Here is a 17,441-nt window from a genome sequence, read left to right on the forward strand (position 1 = left end):
ATGGGATGGTGGCCGGGAAGAGGCGCTCCTCACTTTCCAGACTGGGCAGCCAGGCAGAGGGGCTCCTCACATCCCAGACGATGGGCGGCCAGGCAGAGACGCTCCTCACTTCCTAGACAGGGTGGCGGCCGGGCAGAGGCTGCACTCTGGGCACTTTGGGAGGCCAAGGCAGGCAGCTGGGAGGTGGAGGTTGTAGCGAGCCGAGATCACGCCACTGCACTCCAGCCTGGGCACCATTGAGCACTGAGTGAACCAGACCCGTCTGCAATCCTGGCACCTCCGGAGGCCAAGGCTGGCAGATCACTCGCGGTTAGGAGCTGGAGACCAGCCCGGCCAACACAGCGAAACCCCGTCTCCACCAAAAAAATACGAAAACCAATCAGGCGTGGCGGCGCGCGCCTGCAATCGCAGGCACTCGGCAGGCTGAGGCAGGAGAATCAGGCAGGGAGGTTGCAGTGAGCCGAGATGGCAGCAGTACAGTCCAGCTTCGGCTCGGCATCAGAGGGAGACCGTGGAAAGAGAGGGAGAGGGAGAACGTGGGGAGAGGGAGACCGTGGGGAGAGGGAGAGGGAGAGGGACAGGGAGAGGGAGAGGGACTTGGTTGGCTTTTTAAACAAAAATGAACACCTAGGTCCCATCCCATACCTGATGAGACCAGAGGGGTCAATATCAAGACTCAAGCACAGAGACAAAGAATTGTGAAGAATAAGAAGGGTAGGGGAAAAGAATTTTTTCTCTGTTGAAGATGCAAGTTCTTTGCAATCGTATGAAGGGGGACTCATGAAGGCTTAAAAGGAAAAGTTTGGAATCATTGCCACCAAAGACGTTAAAACAAGTCAAGTGATAAAAAAAGTTTACCATGCAGCTCAAAGGGCCCACTTGAAGGCAGAGAGCAAGGATTTATAGCAGAATCAATCAACCTTTCAATAGCCAGAAGGAAGAGAGGAGGGAAGGTACTGATGAGTTTCCAAAGGATTAGCTATTAGTAAGACAGGCACTGAAGGACGTCCTGAAGGGCAAGTGTAGTCATCATTTCCTAAGGTGGCCATAACAAACTGGGTGGCTTAAAACAATGGAAATTTACTGTCTAACCTCAGTTTTGGCAGTTAGAAATCAGAAACCAAAGTGTTGATGGGGCCATGCTCCCTTCAAAGCTTCTAGGGGAAGATTCTTCCTGGCTTCCCCCAGCTTCTGGTAGCCCCAGGTTCCTTGGCTTGTGACAGCATAACTCCAATCCAATCTCTGCCTCCATCTTCCAGAGCCTCTTTCACGTTGTTTCCATCTGGCATTTTTCTGTGTGTGTGTGGGCATGAGTGTGTGAACATATGCATAAGTTTCCTTCTTTTTATAAGGACACCAGTCATATTGGGTTAGAGCCCACCCAAATGACCTTATCTTGTTTACATCTGCAAATATCCTATTTCCAAATAAGGTCATTTTCACAGGTAGCTCTTCAACATATGTTTTTGGGGAACATAATTCAACCTATAACAGCAAATATCCTGGGAAGTTGAGAACTCAGTAGAAACTGTTGAATGAGGGGGCTGCTCAGGCTGAATAGGAAGACAAGCCAAGATGGCTGATGTATAAGAAGGGGAGGAGGGGAGGAGGAGTTAGGGAAGATGCTGTAAGTTGTGTAAGAATCCTCACTACCACCATTCAACCCAGCAATCCCATTATTCGGTATATGCCCAATACCCAAAGACATCATTCAACCATAGAGACATATGCATGTATATATTCATTGCAGCACTATTCACAATAGCAAAGACATGGAATCAACCTAAATGCCCATCAACAGTAGACTGGATAAAGAAAACATAGTACATATACACCATGGAATACTATGCAGCCATAAAAAAAGAATGAGATCATGTCTTTGCAGCAACATGGATGGAGCTGGAGGCCATTACCCTAAGCAAACCAACACATGAACAGAAAACCAAACATCACATGTTCTCACGTATAAGGGAGAGCTAAACATTGAGTACCCATGGACACAAAAAAGGGAACAACAGACACCAGGGACTACTTGAGGGTAGAGGGTGGAGGAGGGTGGGGTATCAAAAAAGTATCTATTGGGTACTATGCTTATTACCTGGGTAATGAAATAATATGTACACCAAACCCCTGTGACATGTAATTGATCTATAGAACAAACCTGCACGTGTTCCCCTTAAACTAAAATATAAGTTAAAATAAAATCCTCGTTAAATCACTGCCTGAAAGTCTTTACTGAAAATCTGGGAGAAAATATATTGAAATGTTAGTAGTGCATAACTTTAATTTTTATACTTTTTGCATCTTACAAACTTTCTACAATAAGTACACATGACTTATATAAACAGAGAAAAGCAATCATTATCTTAAAAATAACTATCCAGTAACTGCCACAATCTCCTGAGTCCAGACAATCTAGAGCAGAAGGGTAGACTGAGGAAAATATACACAGTATAAAAAAGTAACAAAATCAAAACCTGAAACAAAGATCAACATCCAATAAATGCTTCTGAATAAAGGGAGAGTAGATAAGAACTGGATTTTAATCCCAACACTGCCATTTACCAGCTGGCCAATACTGAGCTAGTTACTCTAAAGAGTTCAGTTTTCTCATTTGTACAAATAGGATTTGACTTTCCATCTCACTGAGTTGTGATGAGAGTCATATGCAACAGCATATGAAGAGGCTAGCAAAAGATATTTAACAAGCGTTCAACATTCTCATGATGACATGAATAACACTGTACATACAACATACCAACTTGATAAATACACAGCACAGTTAATAGCTGAGGGCAGAGTTATGGTTGGGAAGAGAGAGAGTGCAACATAGGCAGAGTGAGGGGGGATTCCCACAATTTTCTAAGACAGAAAAGTGGGGGAATCAGTAGTTACTGGAAAGAATAGGCAATGCCTGACTGGATAGAAAAAGATTCTATGCCTTTGTCAAATTTCACAAAAGTGACTTAAGCCTATACTGCGGGATGTTCACACTACGTCCCTTTAGTGCAGTTACGGTACTTCAGGCTGCAAGTAACCAAATACAACTAAAATTGTCTTATACAATAAGGGCGTAATTATCTCATATAACAAGAAGCTTGGCATGAAGGAAATTTCAACAATTTCACAACGGCAACAAAAACTCTGTTTCTTCTACCTTTCCACCATTCCTGTGTTCTCAGTTCCAATATGGCTGCTAACATCCATATGTCTTCCCCGCACATCTCTTTAAAAGCTACAAAAAGATTTCCCAAAAGCGTCTTGGAAAATTTCCTGTCCCATCTCCATTGGCCAGACCCACCTCCCATGGGACTGCCTCTTGTGAAGCACACAAAGGGCAGATACCAAACGGTACCGTTAGGGAGACCCAGAAGATGGACCATCCAGGATAGAGACATGAAGGGCAGAAGAGGGCCCAGGGATGTGTGTCCCTCAGCTGGACTACAGGGAAGGAGTTTTGGTCAGGGGAAGAAAAGCCTCATTTCCTATCAGTCACTGGTGGAATGACTAAAGATGCTAATGGACTCAACCAAAAAAATGGCCGGAGGCGTGAGACAGAAGAACAAGAAAAGGTGTGCAGGTGCACTCCGTCCACAGCGCTGTAGAAGGAGACATTCCCAGTCCCACGATCCAGGTAAACCCCCACTCGGTGGAGAGCTGGCTCTTGCTGGGTGGGAGTTCCAGGGAAGCCTATCAAGGGCCAATAGCCAGCAGCACTCCAATAAATCGCCCAGATGCCCACATCTGGGGACATTTTTGAACGATCAGTAATTCCCATGACGTCCTCCCGACACACCCCAACAGCAACCTCCAGACTATCTCTACTCTCAACTTCCCAGTAATGTTTCCCTGAGGTGAAAACGTTTTTTCCCAGAACACAGGGTAAGTGCTGAAATCTCTCTACAAAAGCAGTCTTCTGAGGATTCCTCCATCCAGCAAAGTAGTTCCATGCTGAAGAAAACACTGGCCAAGAACTGGCTGATGCTGTATTTTTCACGTATCTCCCTTCCTGGGAGAAGACGAGTTTGGGATGAGCTGTGTCTTCAGCTAGGTTTACAGCCACTGTGGAGAAAATGAGAGCTAAGTAGTGCAGCAGCTTATCATCAACCCTTCCCCAGAAATGCCCATCTTTTCCAGCATCAGTTTCATCTTTCTCCTCCTAACAAACACTCATGACTCCACTGCTGCCCAACTGATCCTCAGCCAGGCCTAGCAGGCCACAGCATGGCCTTTAGCAACCTGAAGTCCTCATTTCCCTTCTGCTCTAAAAGACTAAGCCCTAGACCAGGCGCAGTGACTCATGCCTGTAATCCCAGCACTTTGGGAGGCTGAGGCAGGGAGATCACTGGAGGTCACGAGAGTGAGACCAGCCTGGCCAACATGGCGAAACCCCGTCTCTACTGAAAATACCAAAAAACAAACAAACAAAAAAACTGGCCCGGCATGATGGTGGGCACCTGTAATCCCAGTTACTGGGGAGGCTGAGGCAGAAGAATCACTTAAACCCAGAAGGCGGAGGTTGTAGTGACCCGAGATCGTGCCACTGCACTCCAGCCTGGGTGACAGAGCAAGATTCTATCTTTAAAAAAAAAAAGACTAACCTCTAGAAACTGGGGATCTAATTATTTCATGCCCCAAGTTTTCACAAACAGCCTAAAATTTGGAGAGATATTAACAAATTCTCACGTTGAATCAAAACTAGAACCAAGGCTGCCGACTAGCTGGTTCTTTGGCTAGATACACACAGGTGTCACATAGGACAGAATAATGAGGTCTCTTTTCACGGGTTCCAGTTGTTTATGGGGCATCTCCACAAATCTCCCCACAGATCATTCAAAACTGAACTAATTATCTTACTTACACCCCCTTCTATACTCTCGGGACTAATCCACTTCATATGCAGACATCTTGCCTTCTATGTTCTCTAAGGTGTCAGAGTCCCCTCCACCTGAACACTCATGCTTTTAAATCTTTATTTTCGACTCTTTCCTCTAACCTTCAATAGCTAGTTAGTCACCAAGTCCTACCAATTCTACCTCTGAAATTTGTCACTCAGGTTCTTTTCCTCCCCTCCACTCCCATTGCCACTGCCTTTACTCCAATCTCCAGTGTCACTCAATGTGTTAATAATGTCCTCCCTGGCCTCCCTGACTCCAAATTCCCTTCCCTCTAACTCTCCATGTCTCTTGAGTTTGAGGACTTTTTTTAAAAAAAATCAGGAATGTATGCTAGAGTTTGACAAATGCTTTTCCTGCTTCCACTGAGACAATCACATGGTTTTCCTTTTTTTTTTTTTTTTACTTTAGTGATATAAACTACATCGATTTTCAAATATTAAACCAACTATGCTCTTCTGGGATAAATCTCACATATTGTGATTATTATACATTATCCTTTTTGTATACCAAAGGATATATAAATTGGTTGTGATTATTACATATTATCCTTTTAATATATTGTTGGATTCAATTTGCTAAAGTTTTCTGAGAATTTAGGTATCTATGTTCATGAGAGACATTGATGTATAATTCTTTTCTCTTGTGACGTCTTTGTCTGATTTTGGCATCATGGTAATACAGGCCTCACAGAAAGAATTGGGAAATATTCCCTCTTCATCAATTTTCAATAGGAGTTCTTGAAGAATTGGCATTTATTTCTTAAATGTTTGGTGAAATGTTTCACCAAGAAAATCATCTGGGGACCAGGCGCGGTGGCTCATGCCTGTAATCCCAATGCTTTGGGAGGCCAAGGCAGTGGATTACGAGGTCAGGAGTTCAAGACCAGCCTGACCAACATGGTGAAACCCCATCTCTACTAAAAAAAAATACAAAAATTAGCCAGGCATGGTGGCGCGCACCTGCAGTCCCAGCTACTTGGGAGGCTGAGGCAGGAGAATCACTTGAACCTGGGAGGTGGAGGTTGCAGTAAGCTGAGATTGCACCACTGCGCCCCAGCCTAGGCAACAGACCAAGACTCCATCCCCCCCCCAAAAAAAAAAAGAAAAGAAAAGAAAGAAAAGAAACAAAACGAAAGCCATTTGGAAGGTTTCTAATAGCAATTTCTTTCATAGAAATAAGATTATTCCAGTTATCTCTATCTTCATGAGTCAGCTTTTGTAATTTGTGTCTTTTAAGGACTTCATCCATTTCATCTATATTGTCAAGTTTATTGGCAAAAAGTTGCTCTTAATATTCTATTATCCTTTTAATATCTGCAGAATCTGTAATGATGTCACCTTTCTCATTTCTGACATTAGTAATGTGTGTTTTCTTTTTTTCTGATCATTTTGATTAAAGGTGTGTCAATTTTACTGAAATTCTCAAAGGACCAGCTTTTGGTTTCATTGGTTTCTGTTGGCTTTCTGTATTTCACTGCAATGATTTCTGCTCTGATTTTTATTATTTCCATTCTTCTGTTTACTTTGGGCTTTACTTGCTCCTCTTTCTCTAGTGTCTTAAGGTGGAAGCTGAGGTCAGTGATTTGAGAAGTTTCTTCTTTCCAATATAGCACTATACACTTTTCTTTAAGTTTTGCTTTAGGTGCATCCCACAAATTCTGGTATATTGTCTTTTCCTTTTCATTCCATTCAAACTACTTCCTAATTTGCCTTTTGATTTCTTCTTTAATTCAAGGGTTACTAAAAAGTCTATTATTTAGATTCTTGATATTTAGGGGGGTTTCTAAGGATATTTTGATACTGATTTCTATCAATTCCATTGTGATCAGAGAACATACTCTGAATGATCGGAATCCTTTGAATTTGACACTTGCTTTACAGCCAGCTTAGTCTATCTTGGAAAATGTTTCACGTACACTGAAAAAAATATGTAGTATATAGCTGTTGGGTAGAGTGTTCTATAAATAATGGGATCAAGTTGATTGATAATATTATTCAAGTCTACTATATCCCTGCTGATTTATTGCCTAATTATTCTAAAAATTATTAAAAGGTACTGAAAACTGCAAACGTAATTGTGAATTTGTGTATTTCTTCTTGCAGCTCTATTAGTTTTTGCTTAATATGTTTGAAGCACTGTTAAGTGCAGAAATGTTTAGAACTTACATTCTCTTGACGAACTGACCACTTTATCATTAGGATATAACATTCTTTATCTCTGGTAATATCCTTTGCTCAGAAATCTACTTTGATACTAATATACCCACTCCAGATCTATTAACATATCTTTTTCCATTCTTTTGCTTTAAACGTATATGGTTCTTCATATTTAATGTGTTTCTTTTCCAGTAAAAAATTGGGTCTTATTTTTTTTTTTTAGCCAATCCAACCAACTTCTGCCTTTTGATTAGCGCATGCAGACCATTTATAGTTAATGTGATTATTAGTATGATTAGATTTGTGTCTATTATTTTGCTGTTTTCTATTTGTCCTATATGTTTTCTTCTTTTTCTGCCTTATTTTTTATTAATCTTTTTTTATAATTCCACTTTATTTCCTTTTATTGACTAGCTACATCTCTTTTATTTTAGTGGTTTAAGGTTTATGGTATCGTATGGCAGATGCACCTGACAGCAATAACTCAAGCATACCCTAACAATGACCCTATGGTCCAAGTAGAATGTGGGTTCACACTTCCAAGCTAAGAAATGTGGGAGTGGCCAACTCAGAGATCTGCTCCTTTTCTAGGAAGGACATCTGAACATCTGAACCTCTGGCCCATTCTTGGAATGCAGGCTGTACAGAGGATCAAGGCCCTTTGATTCGGGTTAAATGGAGGTTGTTAGGAGCAGGTTGCTAAGTGAAAATGCTATATAATCTGCATGCTTTTTACAAACAGTAGCAACTGGTTTTCGTGTCCAGCCCACTGCTCCTGGACCACCCAGCATATAAGTCCTCAATAAATCCTATGTCTCATTCACCGGCTCCAGGTTTCTTCCACCTCTCAGACACAGTGCCATCCGTACTGAAATCAATAGGGGTCTAGCACAACAATTAGCCCAGCAGGAGGTTGGAGAAAATTCCACGAGTGCCAAGACAATGGGATCAGGGGAGAATCCACGGTGGAAATCCTGGGCTGGTTGTCCACATGTATGTGGGGCCCAATAGCCACTATCCTTGATGGGTGGGGCCCACCAGGTGAGTATGGGGATACCCCCAAAATGCCAAAAGTTCTGGAAGAACTGCTGCAGGGGGTGGATCCAACTAAGGGAAAGTCAAATGCCCAAGCTGTGGCAGCTGCAGTTGGCCGGCCAGTCCTGACTGTGCTTAGAGCAGCCCCCAAGGTTGAGCTTGTGGCACAGGCAAGGGTGTACCACTTACAAGATGAGCTGCAACTAGGGAGATATTAGCTCAGGCTAATTTCTGTCCCACCTGTGGGAACAGGATGACAAAATGGAGACACTGGTTTGTTGCATAGCCTGTTTGAAGGGTCACTGACTGCCACATGGAGTTAGGACTATCATGACTAAATTGTCCTGGAACCCTAAGTCCTGGGACCCCGTGAAGAGATCTAGTGGCAGGGAGGATGAGGACTGGGATGAGTCCATAGAGGTTCCCATCCTCTCAGCATGTCTGATGGTCACTACCAAGATAAAAGAAGACCAACCACACCCACAGAGGGTAGCCCTACAAGACTTGCCTCCACCTGAAAGAAGGCAGACCACCACAATGCAGGATTATACCGCTGTGGAAATGGTGAAGCTGGGAAGTAAGTTCAAACAGAGTGGGAGACAGTCGATCCCACCCTCCCTGGGATTTTACACTCTCCCACTTAGTAGAAATGGATTTTGAATGTTCCCGATGCAGATAATGATAAATGTTTGAGGTGATGAATATGCTAATTACCCTGATTTTATCATTATGCACTGTATACATGTATTGAAACATCACACTGTACCTCATAAATATGTAAAATTATTATGTAGCAACTAAAAAAAAGAACAAAAGATTTCTCAAGTCGGTTCTTGCACTCCATGGGGGAAAGGCCTAGAAAAGAATATACAGGTCACACCTATTTTACATCCTACTCCCCAACCCCCTGTATTTCCAAAATAATGAATCCCAGTCTTCCTTGTGCAAGGGGACAATCATCCTCTTATAGAACATTATAATACCCCCCACTGTCTTACTCTGGCCACTTGCAAAGCATTGCAAAGGGCCCAATCCACTTTGTATTATAAACCAGGCGCCAGGCCACTGCCAGGGGTGGTGCTCTCAGAATGACACAACTTCCTGTGTCTTACTAAATGGCTTCCCCTTTCTTGTACCCACTAAACATCTCACCTGTTGCCCACAGATGGGGTGCAGCAAACCGCTTCACCAACTGGGTGCACATGGTGACCTCTTTCCAGAACACAACAGACTATTGGGTCTGCAGAGAGTTGCCCCTCTCCTCCACAATGGGCCTGCCATGGGGCATCCATGCTGCTAACTTGAGTACCTGGAGCCATGTCTATATTTGGCATGATAAGTCTCACCCACTTCCCTTCAGCACCACCACCACATTATGCAGTGCGTTTCCCACCATCAGTGAGACAAGATGACATATTTTCCACCTAGTATGGGAGCAGGTTAGTGCTACCCCAGCTGTGGGGTATTCCATACACGATGGACAAGGGTGAGTAACAAGAGTGCAGATACAGGTAGTAAGTCATGCACCCTTATGTACTGAAAGGCATGATAATAGCATGTCACAAGCTAAACTCTTAATGTGGGGTGGCTACCCCCACAGCAATGCAACCAATCCCTTCAAATAGCCAATAATATGTGGCTAGGGTGGCACAGTAACTGTCTCCACGTAGGGGCCCATGCCCTCCCCTTGGGGATGGCTACAGGTAGACGGCAACCACAGCTGGCCTTACTTACCCTAAAATTGGGCTGGTAGATGCACCTGGGGTCGTCTTCACCTGCCGGACACATTCTGTCCCATTGAGACACCATTCTTACTAACTGGGAGAGTATAAAAGCCAGGCACTTCCAGAAGTGTGCATTCTGGAGTTGCAATTTGGAGACCTCGCTAAACATATGGCTGCAGCCTTCAAGGATACCTGTGCCATGCCATTACTCTTCTCACTGGGCAACTGTGTAAAATCGCATGGCCCTGGATATCTTAACTGCTGCCCTGGGTGGAAGCTGCACATTAATTAAAACCAAATGTTGTGTATATATCCCTATTACTCTCACATTATAACCGGGGTTATGTGAACCCTAGAAACCCATATTTCAGTAAAAATTCTCTATCTTATCAAGTGCTTGGAAAAGCTTTCTGTAGAGTATGATTGCTACTATGCTTGTCATTGTCTTTTGTTGCTGTAGTTTCTAACGCTGCTGCAGCATCTGGCAGCAATGCTACTGCACATACCTTGCCTCAGGGAAGTTGCAGAGAATGACGTGATAAGAATGTGGGGGCCATTCAAGGGTATGCTGGACTGCAGTGTACGGCAGACACACCTGACAGCAGTAACTCCAGCACACCCTGAGAATAACCCTATGGTCTAAGAAGACTGTGTATTCAGAGTTCTGAGCTAAAGAATCCAGGAGTGGCCAACCCAGAAATGCACTCCTCATCTATAAAGGCCATGTGAACTCCTGGTCCATTCCTTGGAATGCAGGCAATACAGGGAATCGAGGCCCTTTCTTTTGGGTTAAATGGAAGGTCCCAGGTGGAGATTGCTAAATGAAAATGCTATATATAACCTGCATGCTTTTTACAAATAGCAGTGGTTTGTTTTCCTGTCCAGCTGGCCATTCCTGGACTGCCCTGCATGTAGGTCTTCAATAAACCCCATGTCTCATTCACTACTCCAGATCTCCTCTTCGGCCTTTCAGACACGGTGCCATCCTTAATGAAGTCAGTAGGGGACTGGCACAAGTATACACCTTTTTATCAGTCTCCCTTCAAGTGATATTATACCACTTCACACATGAGAACTGTATCATAGTATACTTTCATCTCTCCTCTCCCAATCTTCACACTACTGTCATGGATTTTACTTTTAAATATAAGTTCCAAAATACACCATATTTTGTCTGTTGAAATAGTCAATTATTAGGGTTCTCCAAAGGAACAGAACCAAAAGGATATATATGTCTGTGTCTGTGTATGGTGGGTGGGTGTGTGTGCGCACACGTGCATGCATGCACCTGTGAGTTTTCTGGGTTTTCTTTTGAGATGGGGTCTCGCTGTTGCCCATGCTGGAGTGCAGTGGTGCAATCACAGCTCACTGCGGCCTCAACCTCCTGGGCTTAAGCCATCCTCCCGCCGTGGCCTCCCAAGTAACTGGGACTACAGGCACACACCAGCACACTAATTATTTTATTTTTTGTAGAGACAGGGTCTCACTATGTTGCCCAGGCTGGCCTCAAACTCCTGGCCTCAAGCAATCCTCCTAACTCAGCCTCCCAAAGAATTGGGATTACAGATGTGAGCCACCACACCCAGCCAGTGTATAAGATTTAATATAAGGAACTGGCTTGTGTGATTATTGCTACTGACAAGTCCGAATCTGCTGTGTGAGTTGGCAGGCTCAAGACCCAGATAGAGCCAGCGTTCTAGTTGGAAGGCCATTAGGCAGGAAGAGCCAATGCTGCAGTGAAGGCCAAGGTAGTATGCTTTAGAAATCCATCAGAAAGGTCAAGCCTTTTTTTTCTATTCAAGCCTTCAACTGATTAGATGAGGCCCACCCACATTATGAAGGGCAGTCTACACAGGCTTACTGACTTAAATGTTAATCTTATCCAAAATCACCCTCAAAAAAACACCCAAAATAATTTTTGACCAATATCTGGGCACTCTGTGGCCCAGTCAAGTTGATGTATAAACTTACCATCGCAATTCCTTTTTAAAGGAATAAATAATGACAATAATATATATTTATTCGTGTCATTACCATTTCTGGTGCTCTTTTATTCCTTTGTGTAGAGAGATTTCCATCTGGCATTTTCCTTCTGTCTGAAGGACTTCCTTTAAGACTTCCTTTCTTGAAGTGTCAGTCTGCTGTAAACTCTTTCTTTTAAGCTTTAGTTTACCTCCAAACTTATTTATTTCACCTTTGTTTTTGAAGGATATTTTTTGCCAGTTCTAGAACTCTAGGTTAACAGTTTTTTTCTTTCAGGACTTTAAAGAGTTTGCTTACTGGCATTGTTTCCAATGAGAAGTGTAATGTCAACTTCGTCTTTGTTCCACTGCAAGTAACTATCCTCTCCCCTGGTTGCATTTAAGATTTTCTTTTTAACACTGGTTTCCAGCAAGTTATGATGAGCCTTGGCATATTTTTCTTCATATTTCTCATACTCAGGGTTTGTTGAGCATCTTGGATCTGTGGACTTAGTTTTTATTATATTCAGAAAATCTTTGGCCATTATGTCTTCAAGTATTTTTCCTATTCCATCTCCCTCCCCACTCCTCTCTTTCAGGGACGCCAATCACCATAGATAATAAGGCTGCATAAAGTTGTCCCACAGGTCACTGATGCTCTTTGTGTTTTTGTAAATTGTTTTATTCTGTGTATGTTTCATTTTTTTGTAGTTTCCATTGCTCTGTCTTCAAGTTCACCAATTTTTTCTTTTGTAATATTTAATCAACTATTAATCCCATCCAGTGCATTCTTCGCCTTAATCACATTTTTCATCTTTAAAACTTTGATCTGGTCTCTATGTACCTCTTTACAGAATACACTCATAATAAATGTTTTAAAGTCCTTCCATGCTTATTCTAACATCTGTGTCAATTCTAGGTCAGTTTCAGTTGATTATTTTCCTCCATTATGGGTCACTGCTTTCCTATCTTTTTGCATGCATATTTGACTGGATGCCAGACATTGTGAATTTATATTGTTAGGTGCTCTTTTTTTGTTTATTTCTACCAATTTTCTAGGGCTTTATCCTGGGATGCAGTTAAGTTAGTTGGAAAGAGTTTGACCCCTTTGGGTCTTGCTTTCATGATTTGTAAGGTGGGTGTGGAGCAGCACCCAGTCAAGGGCTAAATATTTTCTGCTAATGAGGCAAGATTTTCCTGAGTACGCTACTCAGTGCCCGTGAACTACGAGTTTTCTGGTGTGGCTGATAGGAACTGGCACTGTTCCTGGCCCTGTGTGAGCACCAGGAACCGTTCCCTCTAATCGTTTTAGAAGCTTCTATCTCCAGCCTTGAGTAGATTTTCACAGGCATGTGCTGATCAGAACTCTGCCAAACAACTAGGAAGCTCCTCCATAGATGGCGAGGGTTCTCTCTGTGTCCGGCTCTCTCCGCTCCAGGATACTGCCCAGTACTTTGCGAACTCTCACTACTTTGTTCTCCGTGAACTCCCAGGTCTATTCCTCAACTCAGCAAGTCTCCCTGGCTCTACCTCAGTTACCTCAGCCTTACATGGTCTGGAAACTCCCTCAGGCAGAGGGTAGGGCAATCATAGGCTGACCTCATTTGTTTCACATTTCTCAGGAATCACCGTCCTTCACTGCCTGACGTCTGGTGCTTTGAAAACGGTTGTTTCACATATTGTGCCTGTTTTGTTTTTGTGTTTTTATTTTAGTTGCTGCAGACAAGAAAACAACTCGTTTATTTACTCCATTTTGGCTAGAAGTGAACACCCACAACATGGTTCTTTTTAGTTTGTTTGTTTTTTGAGACAGAGTCTCACTCTATCGCCCAGTCTGGAGTGCAGTGGATACAATCTCAGCTCACTGCAACCTCCACCTCCCAGGTTCAAGCGATTCTCCTGCCTCAGCCTCCCGAGTAGCTGGGATTACAGGTGCACACCACTATGCTCAGCTAATTTTTGTATTTTAGTAGAGACAGGGTTTCACCATGTTGGCCAGGCTGGTCTCGAACTCCTGACCTCAAATGATCCGCCTGCCTCGACCTCCCAAAGTGCTGGGATTACAGACATGAGCCTTCGTGCCCGGCCTACAACATGGTTCTTAATCAAACATGTGCACATAAGAATCACCAGCACAGCTTCTAGAGCATGTACCTGCCTTGGTGCCTCCCTGGAGATCCAATGAGTTTATTTTCAGTCTGTCCTACACTCTTCTTCTCAACCTCAACCTCTACCTTTCCTCAAAATACACCTTGTTCTTTAGCCTCTTTGGATACCCACCCCTCCATGTTCTCCACACCTTAGCTCATGCTGCTGCTTCTGCTTGAAACAGTCATCCCTGTTTTCCACCTGCCAAACTCCTACTAATCCCTCAAATCTCAAAACTGTCGCCTCTGCTGTGAAAACTTTCCCATCTCGCCCCCAACAGAGCCCTTCCTCTGAATTTCTGTAACATTTTATTCCTACCACCAGCAAACACTGGCTCCTACTATATCACTGTGAGTGCTGTGTGTCTGTCTCTCCAATGTGCTTACGAACTCATGAAGAAGTGAACAGGTCTCTTCTTTTTGTATCACTAGCACCTTGTAACAGTGCGTTAAATAAATGTTTCTTGAATGAAGTGTATACCCATTTATTAACCACCTTTCCTGACACTCTATTAGCTGCATGCTGTTTCCTCTTTCCTCTCCAGACTTCTCTCTTTATTCTCCTATTTGAAAGATTTCTAAGGAGCCCCAAGTCCTAGAAATTCTGCTCACCTTGGAATCGCTTTAGCATTTCCTTCATCAATGGTATCTGGCACACTGTCTTCACCTTTACAGCTTCAAGAGAATAGTTCACATCCTGGATCTCACTCCTAAGAAGGTAGAGAAGACTGCTCTTAGGGGACAACTAGGGTAGCCAAGACCTCCACTCCCGGTCAAAGGTTCTTAGCCCAAAGTTCAGATGGCTTCTGTTCCCATTCCTCCTCCCAGAAACAATCAGGAGAATTTTTCCTCAGACCCCCATTAGGGTGTGCCCAGACTGACCTATGGATCCTAGGCCTTGTTTCCCCTCTGCTCAGCCTGTATCTTTACCATGCCACCCAGGTCCCCATAAGAGAACAGGAGTGCATACCTGGTCAACACTTCTTTTGGATTCTGTGAAAAGAAGGAAGACATAAGCAAATTACGAACCTTCTCCTGGAGACCTGGAATACAACTGTGTGAGCAGGTATTTTCTGACGGTTGCATTTGCTCATGTCACATATGATCTCCTGCTGCCAAAGCCAACAGATTGACAGAATCTGGTCCTTTCTTTCACGTGGCCCCTCTGCACTTATTCGACAATGCTGCCTGCGCCCCTCCTCTTTCTCCTTTGGCACTATGACATAAACTGGCTCCTGGCTTCCTGCCGGCCTCCCCAACTAGTCTCAATCACAGAGCCTGCTCCTTTGCGTGCCTTTTGGTGGGTCCTCAGCAGCTCCAGCTTTGAGCTTCCACTCTTCTCCTTCCTGTTGTTTTACAAGATTGCTTTTAAATTATAATCGCAAGGGATATTTTATCATGCCCAAGTCCAAAGAGATTTTCTACAGGTGAATTTTACTAAACTTTATGGAACTGAAAATACCCTAAGTTATAACACAAAAGAGAAAAATATAAATTTTCCCAACTGATTTTTCAGAGACTATTATAACCTTGTTCCTTAAGCCATGAAATGAAACAGTAGAAAAAAATTACAGACCCATTTTACTTAAAGACATAGATGTGAAAATTCTAAGTAACATATCAGGTAACCAATGGCAACGTGTATTTAAAAAATACAGCTCCTCCAAAAACCTGTAACTCAGCCTAATCAAGAAAAAAACAGACAAATTCCAATAGGGGAGCATCCTACAAAATACCTGACCAACACTCCTCAAAACTTTCAAGATCATCAAAAACCAGAAAAGTCTCAGAAAATGTCACAGCCAAGAGGCACCTAAGGAGAGACAATGACAACCAAATGAAATCTGGTATCCTGGGTGTGGTTCTAGAAAATAAAATGAATACTAGGTAAAAACTGAGGAAATGGAAATAAACTACAAACTCTAGTTAGTAAACTGTATCACTGGTTCATTAATTGTAACAAATGAACTATATTAACACTAGATGTTGACAATAGGGGAAACTGGGTGAAGGGGTATGTGGGAACTCTGTCCCATCTTCTCAACTTTTTGGTAAACCTAAATTGTTCATTTTTTTAAAAAAACTGGTTAATTACCACATGAAAAGTGCTCAATCTCACTAGTTATCAGGAAAATGCTTTATCTGGATGAGTACAGTGGCTCATGCCTGTAATCCCAGCACTTTGGGAGGCTTAGGTGGGTGGATCACTTGAGGTCAGGAGTTCAAGACCAGCCTGGCCAACATGATGACACCCCATCTCTACTAAAACTACAAAAATTAGACAGGCATGATGGCGGGTGTCTGTAATCCCAGCTACTCGGGAGGCTGAGGAACGAGAAATGCTTGAACCTGGGGGGCGAAGTTGCAGTAAGCCAAGATGGTGCCACTGCACTCCAGCCTGGGTTACAAAGCGAGACGCTGTCTAAAAAATAAAAAATAAAAATTAAAAAAAAAAAATAGCTTTATCAAGGAAAGGTGTACATACATATATATATATATCCATATACCTTTAGGAAGAGGGAAGGGGTGCTGACTGAGGGCAGGAGATGACATTTTGCACCTTTCAGGGTGGCTAAAGTTAAAGAACTGACAAATCTAAGTATTGGTGAGGATACACAGCAACTGGAACTCTTAATTTTACACACTGGTAACAATAGTGTAAACTGGAACAATCACTTTGTACCAGTTTGAAAATGGTTTGGAATCATCTACTAAAGCTGAACACACATGTATGTCCTATGACCAGGAATTGTTCTCACAGGTATACAACTGATAGAAATGTATATAAATGTGCACCCAAAAAGATATGTTCACACATATTCCTGTTTTTAATAATAGAAACAGAAATCATCCAAATTTCCCTCAAAAGAAAAATGAATAATATGCTTTGGTATATTAATATAATGGAATACGACAGTACTATACAGCGGGCACTACTGACATTTTGGGCTGGATAAGTCTTTGCTGGGAGCTGAAGGCAGGCATGTCCTGTGCATTACAGAATGTTGGCAGCATCCTACACACAAGAGATGCTGGTAGTAACCACCCTCCAGTTGTGACAACCAAAAATGTCTCTATATAATATCAGATTTTGCCCTTGGAGGGAGCAAAATCACCCTGATTCAAAACACTGGTGTACAGCAATGAAAACAAATACCTACTGCATGGATTCATCTCACAAACGTAATGTGAGCAAAAGAAGCCAGTACGAAAGAGTGCGTCCTGAAAGATACTCACTCAAAAATAAGCACAACGAGTGCTGGGTGTGGTGGCTCACGCCTGTAATCCCAGCACTTTGCGAAGCCAAGGCAGGCGGATCACTCGAGGTCAGGAGTTCAAGACCAGCCTGGCCAACATGGCAAAACCCCGTCTCTACCAAAAATAGAAAAATTAGCCAGGTGTGGTGGCACACGCCTGTAATCCCAGCTACTTGGGAGGCTGAGCCCAGAGAATAGCTTGTACCCGGGAGGCAGAGGTTGCAGTGAGCCAAGATCGCTCCACTGCACTCCAGCCTCGGCCA

The 17,441-nt window shown here is 43.1% G+C and overlaps 1 protein-coding gene across 2 annotated transcripts in view; it reads right to left on the bottom strand.

The window, feature by feature from the left end:
• Positions 1–1,718: 1,718 nt before the first annotated feature.
• The window catches only part of TRIM4 (tripartite motif containing 4), a 29,128-nt gene continuing 13,405 nt past the window's right edge, over positions 1,719–17,441 (bottom strand). For both annotated transcript variants that reach the window (NM_033091.3, NM_033017.4), the window contains 3 exons: positions 14,892–14,914; positions 14,534–14,631; positions 1,719–4,062 (listed from right to left, as the gene is read on the bottom strand). In NM_033091.3, the coding sequence (NP_149082.1) occupies positions 3,479–4,062; positions 14,534–14,631; positions 14,892–14,914 (705 nt within the window). In that variant the 3' untranslated portion in view covers positions 1,719–3,478. The remainder of the gene's footprint in view (positions 4,063–14,533; positions 14,632–14,891; positions 14,915–17,441) is intronic.

This window comes from Homo sapiens, chromosome 7 (assembly GCF_000001405.40).
Source record: "Homo sapiens chromosome 7, GRCh38.p14 Primary Assembly".
NCBI classification, from domain to species: Eukaryota; Metazoa; Chordata; class Mammalia; order Primates; family Hominidae; genus Homo; species Homo sapiens.